This window comes from Homo sapiens, chromosome 10 (genome assembly GCF_000001405.40).
Source record: "Homo sapiens chromosome 10, GRCh38.p14 Primary Assembly".
NCBI classification, from domain to species: Eukaryota; Metazoa; Chordata; class Mammalia; order Primates; family Hominidae; genus Homo; species Homo sapiens.
In genome coordinates, this window is record NC_000010.11 from 61,867,409 (window position 1) to 61,886,624 (window position 19,216).

The window sequence follows — 19,216 nt, forward strand, 5'->3', positions numbered from 1 at the left end:
TACCAAATCTACGAACATTCCTTCTCCAAGCTTTAAAAAAGGCAAAACGATACTGAGAGGTGACAGCGTGCTGGCAGTCCTCACAGCCCTCGCTTTCTTTAGGCGCCTCCTCTGCCTGGGCTCCTACTTTGGCGGCACTTGAAGAGCCCTTCAGCCCACCGCTGCACTGTGGGAGCCCCTTTCTCGGGTGGCCAAGGCCAGAGCCCACTCCCTCAGCTTGCAGGGAGGTGTGGAGGGAGAGGCGCGAGCGGGAACTGGGGCTGCGTGCGGCGCTTGCGGGCCAGCTGGAGTTCCGGGTGGGCGTGGGCTTGGCGGGCCCCAAACTCGGAGCAGCCGGCCGGCCCTGCTGGCCCGGGGCAATGAGGGACTTAGCACCCGGGCCAGCGGCTGCGGAGGGTGTACTGGGTCCCCCAGCAGTGCCAGCCCACCGACGCTGCGCTCGATTTCTCACCGGGCCTTAGCTGCCTTCCCGCGGGGCAGGCCTCAGGACTGCAGCCCGCCATGCCTGAGCCTTCCCCCGCCTCCGTGGGTTCCTGTGCAGCCCGAGCCTCCCCGACGAGCACCGCCCCCTGCTCCACGGCGCCCAGTCCCATCGACCGCCCAAGGGCTGAGGAGTGCGAGCGCACGGCGCAGGACGGGCAGGCAGCTCCACCTGCAGCCCGGTGCAGGACCCACTGGGTGAAGCCAGCTGGGCTCCTGAGTCTGGTGGGGAGGTGGAGAGTCTTTATGGCTGGCTCAGGGATTGTAAACACACCAATCAGCACCCTGTGTCTAGCTCCGGGTTTGTGAGTGCACCAATCAACACTGTATCTAGCTGCTCTGGTGGGGCCTTGGAGAACTTTTATGTCTAGCTCAAGGTTTGTAAACACACCAATCAGCACCCTGTGTCTAGCTCAAAGTTTGTGAGTGCACTAATACACACTCTGTATCTAGCTGCTCTCGTGGGGCCTTGGAGAACCTTTATGTCTAGCTTAGGGATTGTAAATACACCAATCGGCACTCTGTATCTAGCTCAAGGTTTTTAAACACACCAAACAGCACCTTGTGTTTAGCTCAAGGTTTGTGAATGCACCAATCCACACTCTGTATGTAGCTGCTCTGGTGGAGCCTTGGAGAACCTGTGTGTCCAAACTCTGTATCTAACTAATCTGATGGGGACATGGAGAACCTTTGTATCTAGCTCAGGGATTGTAAACGCACCAATTAGTGCCCTGACAAAACCGGCCACTGGGCCCTACCAATCAGCAGGATGTGGGTGGGGCCAGATAAGAGAATAAAAGCAGGCTGCTCGAGCCAGCAGTGGCAACCCGCTGGGGTCCCCTTCCACACTGTGGAAGGTTTTTTCTTTTGCTCTTTGCAATAAATCTTGCTACTGCTCACTCTTTGGGTCCACACTGCTTTTATGAGCTGTAACACTCACCGCGAAGGTCTGCAGCTTCACTCCTGAGCTAGCGAGACCAGGAACCTACCGGGAGAAACAAACAACTCCAGACGCCCCGCCTTAAGAACTGTAACACTCACTGCGAAGGTCTGCAGCTTCACTCCTGAGCTAGCGAGACCACAAACCCACCAGAAGGAAGAAACTCCGAATACATCTGAACATCAGAAGGAACAAACTGCGGACACGCCGCCTTCAAGAACTGTAACAGTCACCGCGAGGGTCCCCGGCTTCATTCTTGAAGTCAGTGAGACCAAGAACCCACCAATTCCGGGCACAATACTACTGGATGTGGCGTAACAGAAAACACCTTTGACCTGGAATCAAGAATGTAGACATTTCCAAACAACCCACGGATGTTGGGGCAACTGAGGTTCAGAGCTGTTAAGTCACTTATTCAAGATTACTCTTCATCCAGAACTCAATAGTCTCATTCCTCAGTGAATACACTCCACTACAAGTCACTTTACCTTCTGTGGTCTTAGTTTCTTCATCCATCAGAGAGAGATATCTGAAATAGTCAGCCATTTAAGACATTCATATTTTTCTCCTAGTCCTTGGGAGTCTTCCCCATTAAATTCTTCACTGAGAAGAATTTCACTAGACCAGGATGCAGCACCATTGGAAAGGAGCATAAAGACAGCGGCTTGCTCTCAGATGCACTGTTCCGGGCTATCACATTAAAGACAGGTCATGTTTGGAGATCTGCCCCATTCTCCTTTCAAGCTGGCCTGTGTGGACACTTGGGTAGTCTCTCTCTTGGATCTAAACAATTTTCAAGAGGCTCAGATTTCCAGGATGGAAAAGAACTCTTTGATACAGATCAAGTTCAGCTTTAATCATTAAACCGTTTCACACTTCCCTGTGAATTTTTACTAAAGCGGGGAAACTGAGCCAATGCATGCACATCAACTCAGAGGGTGGGTGCTGTGGATAAAGGCAGGGAGAGGCAGGGGAGACAGCAGTCTCCTCTACGCCACATGGAGACACCCCGTTAGTACCGAAATCCAGGGCGAAGAGAGGAACTTTAAATAGAAATCAAATACTGCTACCCTTTCTTTCTCCCTCTCCACTCCCTTGCAGATAAACACACGAGGTTTATGATTGGATAAAGGTTTGGTTTCATTCCAAGCATAAAAATGGCTTTAGAAGACTTCAGTTTCCTGTCTCCTAACTTTCCTGACCACAAATATTTTTTATTGTAAGCCTTGAAAGCGAAGGGTTATTTAATAAATTAACACTTCAAATGCCTTTGGTTCAACTCTCAGTTTGTTCTAAGTTCAATTCTTGGCTTCCTATTCATTAACTTTAGATAGTTAGTGCTGCCTCATCTCTCTTCACCTAGAAAGCTTTAGTTCCTATCCTTTCTGTATTTTACAGTTTTACAATACTTTATTGCATTGCTATATTATAATATTTCTGCCCTTCCCCTACCCCCAAATAATCTTTTATGAGGAAGCATAGATGAAGTTTGGAATGCAGTGAAGTAAGCATAGCAGTCTTTATAGCATTTTACAAATTTCTCTTGGCCTCAGAAATCACAAAATAATCACACAAAGAAACCTAACCCTTTGCCTGCAGGACAATGCAAGGTTTTTTATTAAAAGAGGAATTTAAATTCCTTCTGTGCACAGACTGTTTTAACTATAAAGACTTAGAAAATTAATTTTTGCCTATAATCTCTTATAGATAATACTATAAAAATAGTTCCTCTTTAAGAAGCATATTTCATGCAAATATCAAAAAGCCTTTTATCTGTGTTCAAGATTTTTTGTTCTATTTCTGTCCCTTGTTTCCTTCTCTTAGCTGAGGATCAGACTTTGGGAGCCCTGGATCTCTAGGCATGCTGCTGAGAGGCAGGGCCCGGAGGCAGGCAGCAAGCTGGCTTGCTTTGCTACTTTAAAAGCAGTGAAACTCAAGAGCCCAGATTAACTTCCTACTACGTGCTGAGCACTGTGTCAAGCGCTGGGGTAAAGAAGCAGTGAATTAAAAGGTCAAGCAAGGCAGCATTCCTGCCAGAAAGATCAGAATGGCATTGAGCTGCAGTAAGAGATCGGGCTGTTGGTGCAGAAAGAGAGGAAAGGCAAAGCAATACTTTTTTTTTTTTTTTAAGACAGGGTCTTGCTCTGTTGTCCAGGCTGGAGTGCAGTGGAGTGATCTCAGCTCACTGCAACCTCCATCTCCCAGGTTCAAGTGATTCTCCTGCCTCAGCCTCCCAAGTAGCTGAGATTACAGTCATTAGTTGGGCGTGCCACCACGCCCAACTAATTTTTTGTAATTTTTGTAGAGACGGGGTTTCACCATGTTGGCCAGGCCGGTCTTGAACTCCTGACCTCAGGTCATCTGCTTGCTTCTGCCTCCCACAGTGCTGGGATTACAGGTTTGAGCCACCACGCCCAGCCATAATACATCTTTTAAGCAATGTTGCCCAAACTTCCCTCACTCACAAGCCACCTTCAGGCTTTTTACACGTCCTAAAACCACCTGTAATTGTATTTACTTAATATTTTTCTTCAAATGATTTACTTTTTTTTAACCTCAATTTTGATTCATCCTAAGCAATAATATGGGTGCAAGTCACTGTTTCTTGATTTTAACTGTTGTGTACTTATTTTAGTATGTATTTTTCCTCTAATATTAAAACACATATTAATATATATTTTCTCTAATACTTATTAAAATAAGTACACAATGATTAAAATAAGGAAATGTTCATGTAGGTACTGCTAAAAATTATCTCAGGTATACCACCAGTCACCCCACAACACACTTAGGGAAAACCTGCCTTAAGATAAAGTAGAAGAAACCAAAAAAGAGGAAGGGAGGAAGAAAAGACAGTTAGGATTTAGCATTTGTCGAAAAACAGTCTCCATACACACACGCACACCAAATGAAGCACTGAAGTCGGATGCTGAAGATGCCTCGATTCTCATTTGATGTCTTTCCGTCCCCAGAGCAGATCCCCAGAAGACCTAAGGTCCAGACTTGGCAACGGGCACTGTTTGTCAACAGGTTGCTGGGTCTGGATAGGTCTGCCCAGATCCATAATGCTCACGAGAACATCCATCTAAGCACACATCTTAACACTGGAGCCATGTCATATGCTTTCAACAGAAAGTAAATCAGTGCTTATTGTTACCTTCAGCTGCCATCCACATAGTAAATTTATTGCCCACTCCCTTAGGCTGTTTGGGCTGCTACAACGAAACACCATAGAATGAGTAGCTTATAAACAGCAGACATTTATTTCTCACAGTTCTGGAGGCTGGGAAGTCCAAGATTGAGGCATCAGTAAAGACCCATGTTCTGGTTCATAGATAGTGCCCTCTCACTGTATCCTCACATGGGGAAAGGGACAAGAAGCTCCCTAGGGCCCATTTTATATAAGCGCTAATCCCATGATCTAATTGCCTCCCAAAAGCCCCCACCTCCTAATACCATCACTTTTGGGATTAGGATTTCAACTAATGAGTTTTTGAGAGGACACAAACATTGAGATCATGGCTCCCAGGAAGGATGCAGTACCTACTTATGCCCTAAGCACTGGACATTTTGGTTTGCTAATTTTCCAAAAGGCAGCTGTTAGTGGAAAGAGCCCAGGATGTAGAGTCAAAAAGTCTCTTTTGTTATTTCTGCCCAGCCACAGGCCAGATGTCAGATTTTGGGTAAGTTACTTAAGTCCTGTAACTCTCAACTTCCACATTTATAAAATGGAGATAATGGAGATAAAATGAAGATGCATGCTTCTAGCAATTTTCTTTTGGAAGAGAGGACAAAATGCTTAGTGTATGTAAAAGTATAATGTTAGCACATAATTTGAAATCACACAGTAAGTATATTTTTAATATGAGCTATGCAGCATTAGAAATGACAAAATTATATTAATGAATACTATGAAAGTAATATCGAACAATCCTTAAAATAATTTTAAAATATTCTAAATATCCAATATTTCAATTTTAATACATTCCTCTGTGTATGTGTATTCACTCTGATTTCAAGTAAGAAAAGTTACTCATGTTTATAGGAGGCAGGTTAGAAACATGGAAAAATAAAATTTAGTGTGTTAGGGCTAAGAGGCAGTTTGGAGTAGAAATTAGGAGCATTTGCTCTGGAGCCCACTGGGCTGGGATTTAATGCAAGCTGCGCCACTTCCTAATTGTATTCTCTTAGCTAATTGCATTATCTCTCTCTAAGCCTCAATTCCTTTCCACAAAAATGGGAATATTAATAATAGTATTAACCTCATAGGTTGGCTTAGCTGTCTCTGGTTTTTAGTAAATTCCCAATACATAGTACAGGAATTAAGGTGGTAGGATTAAGGATGATACTTTTAACTTTAAGAAGTGATCTTTCTTTGTTCTTTAAAAACTGCAAGTAGCCAAATTACAACTACATGTTACTGAATATCTACTGCTCAACTGCAAAGTTGTGCTGTGAGAAAGAGATAGAAAAACAAAGCTACCTCCACCACTAGACTGCCCCGTCAATGCCCAACCTTACACCTGGGCAGTCTGTGACCAAACCAGCGGGACAAAGACTCACCTCCCACCTGGCAGAGTCAAATCAGACCTAATGATCCAAGTGCTTTCTTCTCACACAGAACAAATATATCTTCAATATCCCTGGGCTGTGTGTCTACTACTGCCACTTCCAATTTTACTTCACAGCTGCATTGGAAAATGTTAAACTCTCTTCAATTTAGGCAGCTTTTATTTGTATTCAGACGAAGACAGAGTGTGTACCAGGGGACAACTTGACCATTAAAAAAATTCTATTTGACTACATATATTTTTAGCAATTTGGGAAAGCTATCAAAGCAGGCATTTTCACTTAAAAGCTTGGAAATAAAGCTGATATCGTCTGGTTGGGGGAGGGCTGGGGAAATCACCAGAGGGAAAAAAAAGCCCTTTTGTGTATCCAATTTCATATTGCTGTTGTCATGTACAGGATGTATATTCAAATGTGTTTGCATATTTCTAAACTGATCATACATCAAAATTAGAGCCATATTGTTTCTTTTACAGTGAAACTGTTTATATAGGAAATATTGTACCAAACATTCCCTGCTTCCACCCTGAGTTGTGACTGATTACAGAGTGAGATAAAAGCACTTACATACACAAACACGAGAAAAGTCTATAGGCATGCAAGAAATCAAAAGAAGGTGTGATTTTTAACACAAACACTATTATCAACCAAAAATAAAGAAGAAGGAAAAAGAAAGATTGCTGGAGTTTATGCGAATTCTGAGAAAGCAAAAAGCATAGACTTACACACTGATAGATTGAAAATTAGAGGTTGGGTTAGACAACTGCAGAATTCAGTTTGGTACATAGTTCAAAACAGCCCCTGGGTGCCGTTTTATACTCATGTGACCAACTGAATTAGAGTCATATACAAGAGACAGATATGGCCCACTAAGGGGAATCCATTTCCTAATTCACTATGGGAAACAGTAATTTAAAGCTAGCCACTTGGTTCTTTAGTGTATTTTCTGGAAGGGCTGTATCAGTTTCAGTAAGTTCAGTTGAATTTTCCCTCCTCCACACTCAACAATTTTTTCTATCTTCTTCATGCTTAAAAGCTTGGTCCCAATACAAAGTGAAGTGGGAAGCTGGCAATTATCCTATAAATCCAGGTTATGTTGTTAGGTCAACAGAATTGTAGATTTGATGGAGCTTAAAGGAATTTTAGAGATTATCCTATCCAACAGCTTTCAAACTTTAAATATTTTGTTAATGAAATCATATGTAGAACTCTAATATATAAACTAGGTTTTACAAGTATTTCACTAGTATAACTTGGTCAAAGATTATAGAGGGAAGAAAAAAAGGTAGGTACATGATTGTCCAAAGCCGAAGAGTCCATGAGAGATGAGAAAGTGGAGTAATGTGGAAATCCAAAGGAGAAAATGATTATTTCTGTCTAAGCTGACCAGGAAAAACTTCATGATGTTGGTACTAAAAGATCAACAGAATTTGGACATTGTTTCCTCCACTGACTTGCCCTTCCTTATCAAAGATACAGGTTAGAATCATGGTCTTCTACAAACTCATCGAACGGACAGGCACACGGGAATTTCATCAACCTGAGGAGATGGTCACTTTCCCATAATTGTCCATCCTTTGGATCCTGTGGCAGAGATTGCTGGCTGGTAACAAAAAGTCTTTCCTCATCTTGTGAACACAATTACACTTCCCAGCTTCCCAGCATCAGATATGGCCATGTGACTGAATTCTAAAATGATATATGGAAAGAAATGATGCGTTCCAGTCCTAGCCGATAAAACAAATTCCTCCATGCAATCCCTCATTCTCCTCTCTTTTTCTTGCTATATATTGATGCCCAGCATGGCATGAGCTGAGAAGTGACACACGGAGGATGGCAAAGCCTCCATTAACCTGGATCCCTGAAAGACTGCATGGAGCAACGCCCCCACCATGACCATTACTAGTCAGCAATATCTGCATTGGACTGTTACATGAGGGAGAAATAAAATTTCATGACACTAAACCTCCTGATATTTTAGGATTTGTTACAGCAGCTGTTGCCACCCTAACTAATACAGATATCTTTCTCTATTACAGCCAGCTCATCTTTCCCTTTCTTGCATATATTTGCATTTTTCTCAGGTGTGTTTTTGTACATCGCTAAGCTTTTGTACATTATTAATTATGTAATCTCAAGAGAATAGCTATTAATAAGATATAATCCAAGTCTCTTCAAAGGAAGAGACCATGTTTCCACATAGGTGTTTGAAACTCCTCTGGATGCCATTTTCTTTATAGATAAAGAAGAGCATGGAATAGACATGGGCAAAGCCTCTTCCTATCACGAAAAGTCTGCTTCTACGATGCAGTGACAAAGTTGTCAATGACAGCATGCATTGGTATACTGGAAAAGTTACCAGATTCAGAGTCAGACAACCTCAGGCACATCACCTAATCTTCCAGTTTCCTCACTTGTAAAATAAGGATAAAAATACCTACTTTGCAGAAGGTGTTGGTTATTCACTCAATGGCCATTAATGATGTACCAATTAGGTTGCATTGCCAAAGAATGTATATCTGGAGGTTCTTTGTAAGCCAACAGTGGTTGATGATTACGTTTACATATCTCTTTAGCTAGCTAGGTTCCTGATAATGCGGGCCAGTGCTTGAAACTAGTAAAAGAGGTATAAATATGCAATACTATTTTATCCAAAGGATTCCAATTTTCTATCTTGGAGACTGCAAAAAGGGGTTTTATAAAATTGGCTGTATGTCCCATTGGCCACTTTGCCTTTTCCCCAATTTAGAAACTCCAGGTTTGATTCTCCACCCCCACCATGTGTACCAGCATCACCAACACTAGATACCTTTCTCTTTTACAAAGTCTACCACTCCCCAGGTGTGCCAAATAGGCAAAATTCAGAACACCAGCTAACAGTGGGCAGAGAGCAGAGGACATCATTCTGCATTGCTGTGCAGAATTGCCTTCAAAGTCAGCATTTCACTCACCAAGGAAGCTCCACCAGCATTTGCGGGGGAGATCTCAACCTTCCAACTCTCACTAGATTTGGAGGCCATGTAAAAACCAGAAACCAAAGAGCCCCACTCTCTCATGACCACCTGTCACTGCTACCACAGTCATTGTCCAAGAAGGCCGCCCTCTTACCTCAGACCTGGGATCAGTGGCTATCAGGACAGGACAGGATAGGACAGGAAGGCAAAGCTGTCAGGCTATTATCTGGTTCATTTTTTTTCTCTTCCAGAGTACATTTCAGTTTCAGAAAGAGCTCTGCAGCTAAACACTTACATAAAGGTTTGTAAACCTCTGAAACAAGTGCCATGAGGCAAGTGACTTGCTTCAAACTTCAATTTTCTCAACTGTAAAATGTGAGTAATAATATGTTGGTTTTTTCTGCCACGTGAGGATTGTTGTGAAGCATAAATGAAATTATTTCTACCATGGACAAATCTAGGAGGTTTTATCATTATATCTTAATTGCTATCTTACTGAAGGCCAGCACCAAGACCTAGAGCTCAAAGTCATGTCATTGACAGGGCATATTCTAGGTCAATCATACTGAAAATAAGACTACTTTATTTTAGATTTTAAATATGCAGGATCTCTTCAAAATTAAAGCCTTGAATAGTAATAAAGTCTCAGGAATCCAGACTCTGCAAATTCAAAATTTATCACTCTATAGAGAGAGCTAAACTGAAATGAACCTTTGCACCAATTATAAGATAAGAACTTAATGTATAAACAAAGCTTCAAGGGGAGTATTGACCCTACTTGTGAGTAAGTCTTCAAAGCCTTTTGCTCAGAACTTTCAAAAATATTTTCAAAGCAACCTCTTCCTATAAATAAGTGATAAAGCTATTCTGAAATGTTCTTACCTCTTTGTTATGTCAAGTCCCATAAGGGCCTATTCATGAAGATTTTGTTAACTGAGTTTTCTTAATTAAAAATGCATTTGCTTAAAATACTCTATAATTTAACTTTGTACTATAAATAAAAATCACCTTTCATTGAGTGCTCACTGATGTCAGGCCATTGTTTTAAGCATGTTCACACACATCATTTCACTTAACCCTTATGATGACCCTGTGATGTACTGTGGGCATGATTATTTCCTTTTTACCCACAGGAAAGCCAGGCTCAGAGATTTTAAGTGACTTGTCCAGTGCCCTGAAGCTAGAAAGTGATACAGCAGAGATATTATACAAACCAAGAATTATCTGATTCCAAAGCCCTTTCTCCTGCCATTTTTCTACTTTGCCTCTTAAGATTTACCTTTTATCTAGTTAGCCCAACTTAGTAGGAACTTTGGTACAATGAAATATAATAAAAAGGTTAGACTCCACACCATCAGCTGGCATGCTCTAGAAAGCAATAGCCACCTTTGACCAAATCTTTATTAAGTCCATTCAGCCTGACTAGGTGTCATCATGTGTGGATGCCACAGGGAAGTTTGATACTCACAATGACTTCCAAGTTCCTCTCATTGTCAGACAACTGATAAGCTTGAGAAACAATCTGTGTTGAGGTAACAAAATCACCAGCAAGTGGGAAGTGGTCACGGGAAGGTTAACTCAGGGGGCTATTAGGCTCATCTTCCATCTTCCCTTTGACCCTCTACTGACATTGCTCCGGGCACCAGCCCTGGCTTTTATAGGGAGGATAAAGGACAAAAAGCATTAGTCTTTCTTGATCCCTCCCAAGAAAGAAAAGAGGACCAGCTGGGAAGGGCAGTGCAGTTGTTTCACAGTAATGCAGGCTTTCGAGGGAGCTGGCTCCAACGTCAGGAATGTGCAACTCTATCCACTGCTGATTTTCTTCCCGAAGAGAGACCCTTTGGAACGTAAACTTCAACCAAGAATTGGATTTTTCTTACAACGTCAACAATTACTTTGTTATTAAAGAAAAAATCTGGGCGGGAGACAGCAGATGGGTACATCTGACAAGGGGCTGGGAGGAGGGAGCAGTGTTTCAGGTATTGGAGAAATTGTTCAAGGACAATTTGTGTGTGGAAATATAAATTCCTATAAATCTGCCAGAGCCAACAGGACTGAAGACAAATCACTCACAGAAATGCGTCTCTCCCCAGCAAAGCTGACCACGGGCTTAATTTAGGTGCACGCCCTGTTTGTGCTGGATTTCAGATATTGTTTTAAGAGAGGCAAGGACAACAAAGAAGTAAATTGATATCAGTACCCCTACTTTGTCCTGTTAATAGCATCTTTTGCCTTCTGGTATTTTTAGAGCTTTGATTCAAAATAGGAAAGTCTATGTCATGCTCCAGACCAATGAGCATATCATTGCCATGGCAATAGAATATTGGCCTAGGAGCAAAAGAGCCAACTTTCTCTTCCCAATGCCACCATCAACTTTCTTCTTCATGTTGGCATGACTAAAAGAGATGGAGGAGCTGATCCATTATTTAGCCAGTTGAGAGTTGCCTAAGCCACTCATTCTACCCACTGAGATATAAGCCACATTAGGGCAGGGATTTTTTTTTTCTTGTTCATGCTCTGTCCCCAGTGCCTGAACTGTGACTCACTTGCAGTAAGAAGTCAATCATTATTTGTGGCACTCATGAATGAATGAACCATCCATCCATTCATTCATCCTCAAAGATCACTGCCAAATATTCATAGGTTTTCCTCCCATGGAATTGCAAATTATACTCATTATCTCATTCAATTTTATCTCTGGGGCCATGGGTAAATCACTGACATACTTCCATATTACTTTAAGTGCAGGTGAATGATTTTGGGACAAGAGTTAATCTCTGGGAAAATCTTGCACCAACGAATACTTCTGCTTAATTTTCAAACCCTCCCTTACCAACTTATTATTGCAGCGATCTACTTTCTTAACTTCTTGTGTTCATCAGCTTGGATAATATACGTTACAGACAATTAAAGAGCTGTATTCAGAATTATTGCTCTCTAGATTATCAGATTCCAGTTTTATTCCATCACACTTTTTCTTAAATGAATGAACTGTCAGCTTTTCCTAGGAGGTTTTAGAAGAGAGGCTTCTGATATGACCGTAGTTAAGTCATTTCTCCTTTCTGGACTTCCATTTCCCATCCAACATAGAAGGCAGTTGGACCAGACCAGAGGCACCGACATTCAACACTCAGAGTACATGGAAACCACAGACATGTTTTATTTGACCTGCATGGAGATTTCTGAGTGGGGTGGGGAGCACTAGGTGTGGGATTGAGGGGCGGTGGTGGGAGGTGTTTTGTTGCCAATATGTAAAGAAATTTTCACATAAAAATGGCAATATCCAAATTCCTAGGTTTTCTTTATTTTCTTTCTTTATTTTATTTATTTATTTATTTATTTGAGATGGAGACTCACTCTGTTGCCCAGGCTGGAGTGCAATGGCATGATCTCGGCTCACTGCAACCTCTGCCTCCCAGGTTCAGGCAACTCTCCTGCCTCATCCTCCCAAGTAGCTGGGATTACAGGCATGCACCACCACACCCGGCTGATTTTTTGTATTTTTAGTAAAGGTGGGGTTTCACTATGTTGGCCAGGCTGGTCTTGAACTCCTGACCTCAGGTGATCCACTTGCCTCGGCCTCCCAAAGTGCTGGGATAACAGGAGTGAGCTACCGCACTCGGCCCCTAGCTTGTCTTTAGAAGTCATATCTGGCAATACTGGGTTCAAAGGCTTGCAGGGAAACAGTTTAGGAAGTGCCCCCTTTTAGGATAGCTTGATCTCTCTGATTCCCCAGTGCCTCCAGCCCCACGTCACTCCTTAATGTTAGCTACCTGACCCCTGAGCTAAGCAAGCCCTGAATTTCCTTCTATATCAAGCATTCTGTTATTCCAAAACTGTATGAAATACTGTCAATTGGTATTGGGTCACTAATAAGCATTTGATAGGGTATATATTGGGTAAATCTCTGTGTTGCCACTCAATGTGATTTATTTATTTGTTAATGTCACAGGGACACTCAATGCTCTGCATCTCCATTTGTTCATCAGTGCTGAAAAAAATGGGCTACTCAGTGAAGAGCTACTGAGGCCCACGGATGCCATGCAGCCCACTGGCCTCGCTTTGAATATAAGGCTAAATGATTAGGATGCTACCTCTGTTGCTGCTTCTCAAATAACCCAGATATTTACACTAAATGATGACAAACCATGAGAATTTTTTCATTGACATTCTTCTAGTCAATGAAGTAGATCATGCAAGTGGTAAGACGGTACATTTTTCCCATGGGACTCAGTAAAACTATTTTTATTTTGAATGGAAAATAAATACAGCCTGTAAACGTTATTTATTTTTTCTGAGAAATGTCTTCTATTTCTCAAATTCTATGATTCCATGTTTTGTTAATGCCTTTCTCCACCAAGACAAAAATACTCCAAAACTGGGGATATTCTACTAATATTATATTGGTAGAAAAGAATAAAACTAAAATTGCCTAAGTATGTCCTAAATGCTTTTCAATACAATTACATTTTAGCCTTACAGCAGTCCTGTGAAGTAGATATTGTCATCCTACTTTTACTGTGAGGGACCAGTAACACCTGGAACTAGAAGTCAAACTCAGAGTGGTCTGATTTGAAATCCCAGCTTTTCCTACTTTACTTCACTGCCCCCTTGAAAAGTCTGTTTCCCAAACTGCAGACAATGACTTGATTTTTAGGTGGAACTAAGCACTGATTAGTTAAATATCCCTCCATTAGTGACTACAAATAAATAGATCTATTTTTGTCATTGAGAAATTTATTTTAGGTGTGGAAATTTTTAAATTTATCTGATTTATCATTAATTGTTTTTCATTGGTGAATTTTATTCTTAAAAAACTTTTAAGTAGCATTTTTGCTTCCGTTGTACTTACTTGTATGATTTCCTTGTATTTACTGCAGGTGGATACTGACTTTTCTTTCATTTATAAACAGTTTTAAAAGTGAGGCAATAAAACAAATAGCCAGGCCAGATGCAGTGGCTCACACCTGTAATCCCAGCACTTCAGGAGGGCAAGGTGGGTGGATCACCTGAGGTCAGAAGTTCAAGACCAGCCTGGCCAACGTAATGAAATCCTGGCTCTACTAAAAATACAAAAAATAGCTGGGCGTGGTGGTGCGTGCCTGTAATCCCAGCTACTTGGGAGGCTGAGGTGGGAGGATTGCTTGAACCTGGGAGGCAGAGGTTGCAGTGGGCCGAGATCATGTCTTTGCACTGCAGCCTCGGTGACAGAGTGAGACTCTGTCTCAAAATAATGAATACGTTAAGTTAATTAATTAAATAGCCAGGCATGGTGGCTCAGGCCTGTAATGCCAGCTATGCAGAGGCTGAGGCAGGATGATACCGTGAGCTCTGGAGTTTAAGGCTGCAGTGAGTTATGATCGTGTCACTATGCTCCAACCTGGGTGGCAGGGCAAGACCCTGTCTCTAAATATATATATTTATTTATATAAAATGAGGAGAGGAAACAGCACAAGTGGCAAATTGATAAAGAAAAAATCAGAAAGAAAATGCACCAATGTTTAAACTTCAGGAAAAATTAGTCTGAAGGGGAAGGTATTTGGTCAGGGATCTTGGGAGAGGCTAACTTCATCTGGGGTTAATTAGAGTCCCATCTCAGGGAACAGCCATCTTATTGGCTGAATATGGGAAAGGGCCAGAAATAATAAAGTATCTACAAGGAAAGACGTTAATAGAAGAAAAGATCTTTTCTCTTTTTGTCTTCCCAGTGGTTTCCTCTTCAATACACCCCTTCCTGTCTCCTAACTCGATCCCACCCAGCATCTATTACTCTCCTATTAGGCTGCTCATGCATTTTTAAATCCAGCTTAATTGGACATTGACATATTTGGCTCCTCTCTTTAGCACCAAAGCCACCCAATCAAGTAAAAAATTTATTTTCTCCTCAGTACTGCAAATGGAAAGTATCTGCATGCAAAAAAATAAAATATAAATAAAAATTCCTTCTGTAAGAAAGAATATCAACAAGAGCACAAAGTAGAACATGCCAAGTGTTTAGAAAGACAACATCAGCTTCATTTTATTTAAATGCTCCATTGTTTGTAATAAATTTTTAATAGCTTGAAAATCTAATTTTTCCACTACCAATTTTATCCTTGGCCACTTGGCAAATACTGATACTGGCTTTTTTTTTTCTTTTCTGCCTCTGTTACCCCAGTAGTAAAAGCTGGAGATCTGGATATGTGAGTTCTTAATTATGAACCATTACAATGAAAATATCAGCTCTGTATTGGGAATAGCACCAAATGGTATAAAGACCTAGACTGTTATGAATTATTTGGGACCAGAGTATCTCTCCACCCTACTATAGGAGAGAGAACACTCAGAAAAATAGAGACGAAAAGTCTGTGGGGGTGGCTGATCTGTAGTGAAACTCTTTTATAATTTAGAAGACACAATTGTACCGAACCTTTATACTAACCACATATTACTCATTGCATAATTATTGCAGGATTGAAAATGTATGACAAATGTGCCATAACTCCCCCCGCCCACTCTCATGGCAGACATTGCTAATCAACTATGAAACTCTTTCCCACTAAACATTCTAGGTGGACACCGCGGTTGGGATAGTGTGGCAGGGGGAAGGTTGGGGCAGAAAGAGCAAGAATCTCCCCTATTCCTGATACTTCCTTCTTGTAAAAAGAGCACCACTAATGTAACACTCCTACTTTCCTCCAGAGAAGAAAAAGAGACATAATCTGATTGGTAAGCTTTAAAAGAAACACTAGTCATGGGTTGCCAAGCCCCTTCCTCTGGCAGTATGCACACTCACACAGAGCATGTGCTCCTGATATTTCTCTACCAGCTAATAAATTTATCAGTGAACTTACTCCTCAACCTGTAGGAAGATCAGCAGTGGTCCAATGCTGCTGGAGGCTGGGTGTGGTCCCTGCAATATCACAGTTAAGAATGGGGACGCTCACTGGCACAGCAGATATAACCACATTCCTCAGTAGCAACTTTAACAACAACAAAGGTGATGTTTTGACTCTTTCTGTCTTACTCTTTTGCCTAGCTCTAATTGATTCAAGCCTTGGGCCAAAAAGAAGGGTGATGTTTCAGGGTCCCTTAAAACCCCTCACAGAAGCAATTGATTAGGGCGCTCACAGGAAATTGATGTACAGTCTAGTACACTTCAGGAGCCATAATGTGGTCTGATTTACAGTTAACGAGAGATGTGTGAGGTCAGTGTTGTTTGGGGTGGCATGCCAACGACCTATACAAGGCCCGACACAGGAGTAGCTCTTGTGTCATCAAGTTCCCGAGACTTTGCAGTCCAGATCATCAGTTCTGTCATTGCTTCAGACATGGTCTGTCCCAAGCAACTCACCCAACTGACCAAATTCATGGGCAACCCTCATATACTCCCGGTGGAAGTGGAAATTGGTGCCATTTTGAGGGGGCCAATTTAGCAGTACATAGCCAAATTGTCCATTTAGTTATGCATTGTGATGGCAGTTTCACTTCTGTGTATCTATTCTCATAGAAAATGCACAAAAATAAATGTCCAAGTTTATTGCAACACCTATTGTCACGATGATAATTTGGAAACTACCTAAATGCCCAGCCATAGAGAACTGGTTAAATAAATAGTTATGAAATATTGTGAATTGGCTTCTAGTCATTTCATGGGTTTTTTGGTTTGTTTGGTTAGTTGGTTGGTGTTTTAGAGACGGGGTCCTGCTCTGTTGTCCAGGCTGGAGTGCAGCGGCGATCATAGCTCACTGTATCCTCCTTGGGCTGAAGTGATTCTCCCGCCCCAGCCTCCCAAGTAGCTGGGACTACAGGTGCACGCCACCATGCCTGGCTATTTTTTAATTTTTTTGTAGAGACAGAATCTCTCTATCTTGTCTTGAACTCCTGCATTCAAGTGATCCTGCCCCCTCAGTCTTCCTGAGCACTGACTGGGATTACAGGTGTGAGCCACCATGCCTGGCCCATTTTGTTTTTTAATGTAGCAATTTTATACTATGTGTCATGGCATGGTGATAGATGGGGAAAGAGTATCCACTTCTTACTCTATATTTCTTCCGTTTGAAATTTTGAGTAAATGTTCTAATTTTATGATTAGTAATTAAGAGAAATGAACATGAATTTAATAATTTTTAATTTTTTTTTCTTGAATGGTGCTGTCCATCATTTAGACTGCTCTCCATGATGACAGTGCCTGGAAGCTGAGCAGGTAACAGAAGGTTGGTGGGAGAGCCAAGGATTGGGACAAGGGCAACAGTTGTCTGGAAGGAGAATTCTCCCATACCAAAGTGTGCCTAATCAATCCCCTCTGTCATAATAGAGTCCAGCTTTCTCCAGCTTTCCTAGGACCAAAATTCCCATGACTGCCAAAACCGAAGTTCCTTTTTTCTTTTCTTTTCTTTTCTTTTCTTCTTCTTCTTCTGAGACTGCATCTCACTATGTTGCCCGTGCTGGTGTCAAACTCCTGGGCTCAAAATCCTCCCACCTCAGTCTCTCAAGTAGTAGGGAATGCAGGTGCATGCCACTGTACCTGACTCTTTCATTTTCATAGTGCTGGAGAAACATCATTCAAGTCTTCGTCTTTTGGTTCTCATCTCAGAAACTCCAAGCAGATCATAAACACATACTCCCTGCAGTTAGATCTAATACAATGGGTTGAGCTTCAGCTTTTGCCAGGTGACTGCCCTTGAAAAGATTAAAGATCCCTGCCTCTCTCCCTTTTGAAGAGTCAACTTGGCATTCTAAAGACAGTGAGTGAAAATTCTATTTGACTTTGTCTAACTCAAATCTATTTTACCCATTTTTGTCCCTGAAAAACCTGTTTCACAGATCAAACTTTAGCCAACACTTTATGAAAAAAACTCCCAGAGTTCTATTTTTCAGCAATATGAATATTCTCCCTTGATTGAATATGAGCTGTCCTCATCTCCCTGTGACCTCCTCAACTACTCAGGCTTTTCCTTGGTGGATGTCATTTCCACAGATAGTTGGTTTCATTGATCATACATGAATCTTAAGTATTGACCACCCATCCTTATAATTGCAATCTCCTCTGCCGCGTAAGATTTGGTTTGTCATATTTACAATAATGCCAAATAATGCCTTGGGTTTGCCTAGTGCTTTCAACTTTTAAAGGCTTTTCATATCCATTATTTTATTTTGTTTTCACAATAATTCTTTTAGGTATGATTGGCTCTGTGTCAACTGACAGATGAGAGAACCAAGACTGCAAGAAGTAACTGAGAATATGTCTTGATGATGAGCGAACCAGTCCTACAACCAGTGTCTCCTACCTTTTGGTCTTGAGCTAGAAGCCAATTAATCCCAAGCACAGAATAGTTTCTAGGTACACTGGACTTTTCAAACCACTTGAAGCCTCAAAGCTTCAGTACTGAAAGCTTAGTTTGCTAGATGATGTATACCTTAAACCACTAGGCTTCTCTCTATTGAAATAAATAGGCTTGTGCCATGCTAGTTGTTGGCATTGTTTTGTCATTTTTGTTATGTAATAGGGTTCCTGTCCCTCAAGGCCAGAAGAATATAGCTATACGACTTATTTAAAAAGACACAGCCAAGGAAAGCAGTCCAAGCTTTCTATGCAGTTCCAGGTATATTGAGATCATTCTCAATATGTCTGGTAGCAACAGAGAATTCTTTATAGAAGGAGGTGGGGGCACTTGAGTTGGGTTGCAATGGATCATGAGAGAGAGAATAAGTAGAGGCATTTCAGAAACATAAATGTCATGAACAAAAGAATAATAGTCATAAAAGTTTTCTGTCTTTTCAAGATCCTGGTTCCCTCCATCTGAGATAGAATATTGATGATAACTCAATCACTGAAAGCAATTCCTCTGTGTCTGAAGGCATGCTGAGGTTAAGCAGAGACCCAAGGATTAGGGCACTGGGCACATTTTCTTTGGAGCCTGGTCACTATTCATTACCCTTCCTCAGGGCTAAGTCACTTATCAGTAGCCCATTCTTTGATTCACACACCTGACACCTTCTCACTCTTGTGTTAAGTACTATGTAGACACAACTTAGAGTGTCCAGCCACCTCCCTCCAACTGTGCTACTACCTCCAGGGCTCTACTATTTAGAAGTTCTAAAGTTGCCACAGATTTAGGACTTCTGCCTTTATATTTCCCAGCTACTAAATGATGAGGAACAGCGACATACCAAGGGTAGAGACCCTCAGAGAGGTAGAGAAGATCAATGTTTATAGAGACAAGTATTGGAAGGAGACTGCGTGCCAAGCAAAATCTCTAAATTACCAAAATTGAATTGAAGTGACTTTCTC

General features: G+C 41.5%; 1 long non-coding RNA gene across 2 annotated transcripts in view, besides 3 other annotated features; it reads right to left on the bottom strand.

Annotated features, from left to right (window-relative positions):
* Positions 1-537, bottom strand: part of LINC02625 (long intergenic non-protein coding RNA 2625) — an 89,240-nt gene extending 88,703 nt beyond the window's left edge. The window contains exon 1 of one of the 2 annotated variants that reach the window (XR_001747461.2): positions 452-537. This is a non-coding gene — a long non-coding RNA (long intergenic non-protein coding RNA 2625). The remainder of the gene's footprint in view (positions 1-451) is intronic. The other variant, XR_001747458.2, reaches the window with a different exon arrangement.
* Positions 522-816: a silencer, noted in NCBI's record as "tiled region #13978; HepG2 Repressive non-DNase unmatched - State 18:Pol2, and K562 Repressive non-DNase unmatched - State 23:Low". NCBI's record gives its function as "represses a minimal TATA promoter and a strong SV40 promoter by Sharpr-MPRA in HepG2 and K562 cells {active_cell/tissue: HepG2 | K562}" and the evidence as "EXISTENCE:reporter gene assay evidence [ECO:0000049][PMID:27701403]".
* Positions 588-677: a silencer, noted in NCBI's record as "silent region_2392". NCBI's record gives its function as "represses an Ori minimal core promoter by ATAC-STARR-seq in GM12878 lymphoblastoid cells {active_cell/tissue: GM12878}" and the evidence as "EXISTENCE:reporter gene assay evidence [ECO:0000049][PMID:35858748]".
* Positions 898-1,057: an enhancer, noted in NCBI's record as "active region_3397". NCBI's record gives its function as "activates an Ori minimal core promoter by ATAC-STARR-seq in GM12878 lymphoblastoid cells {active_cell/tissue: GM12878}" and the evidence as "EXISTENCE:reporter gene assay evidence [ECO:0000049][PMID:35858748]".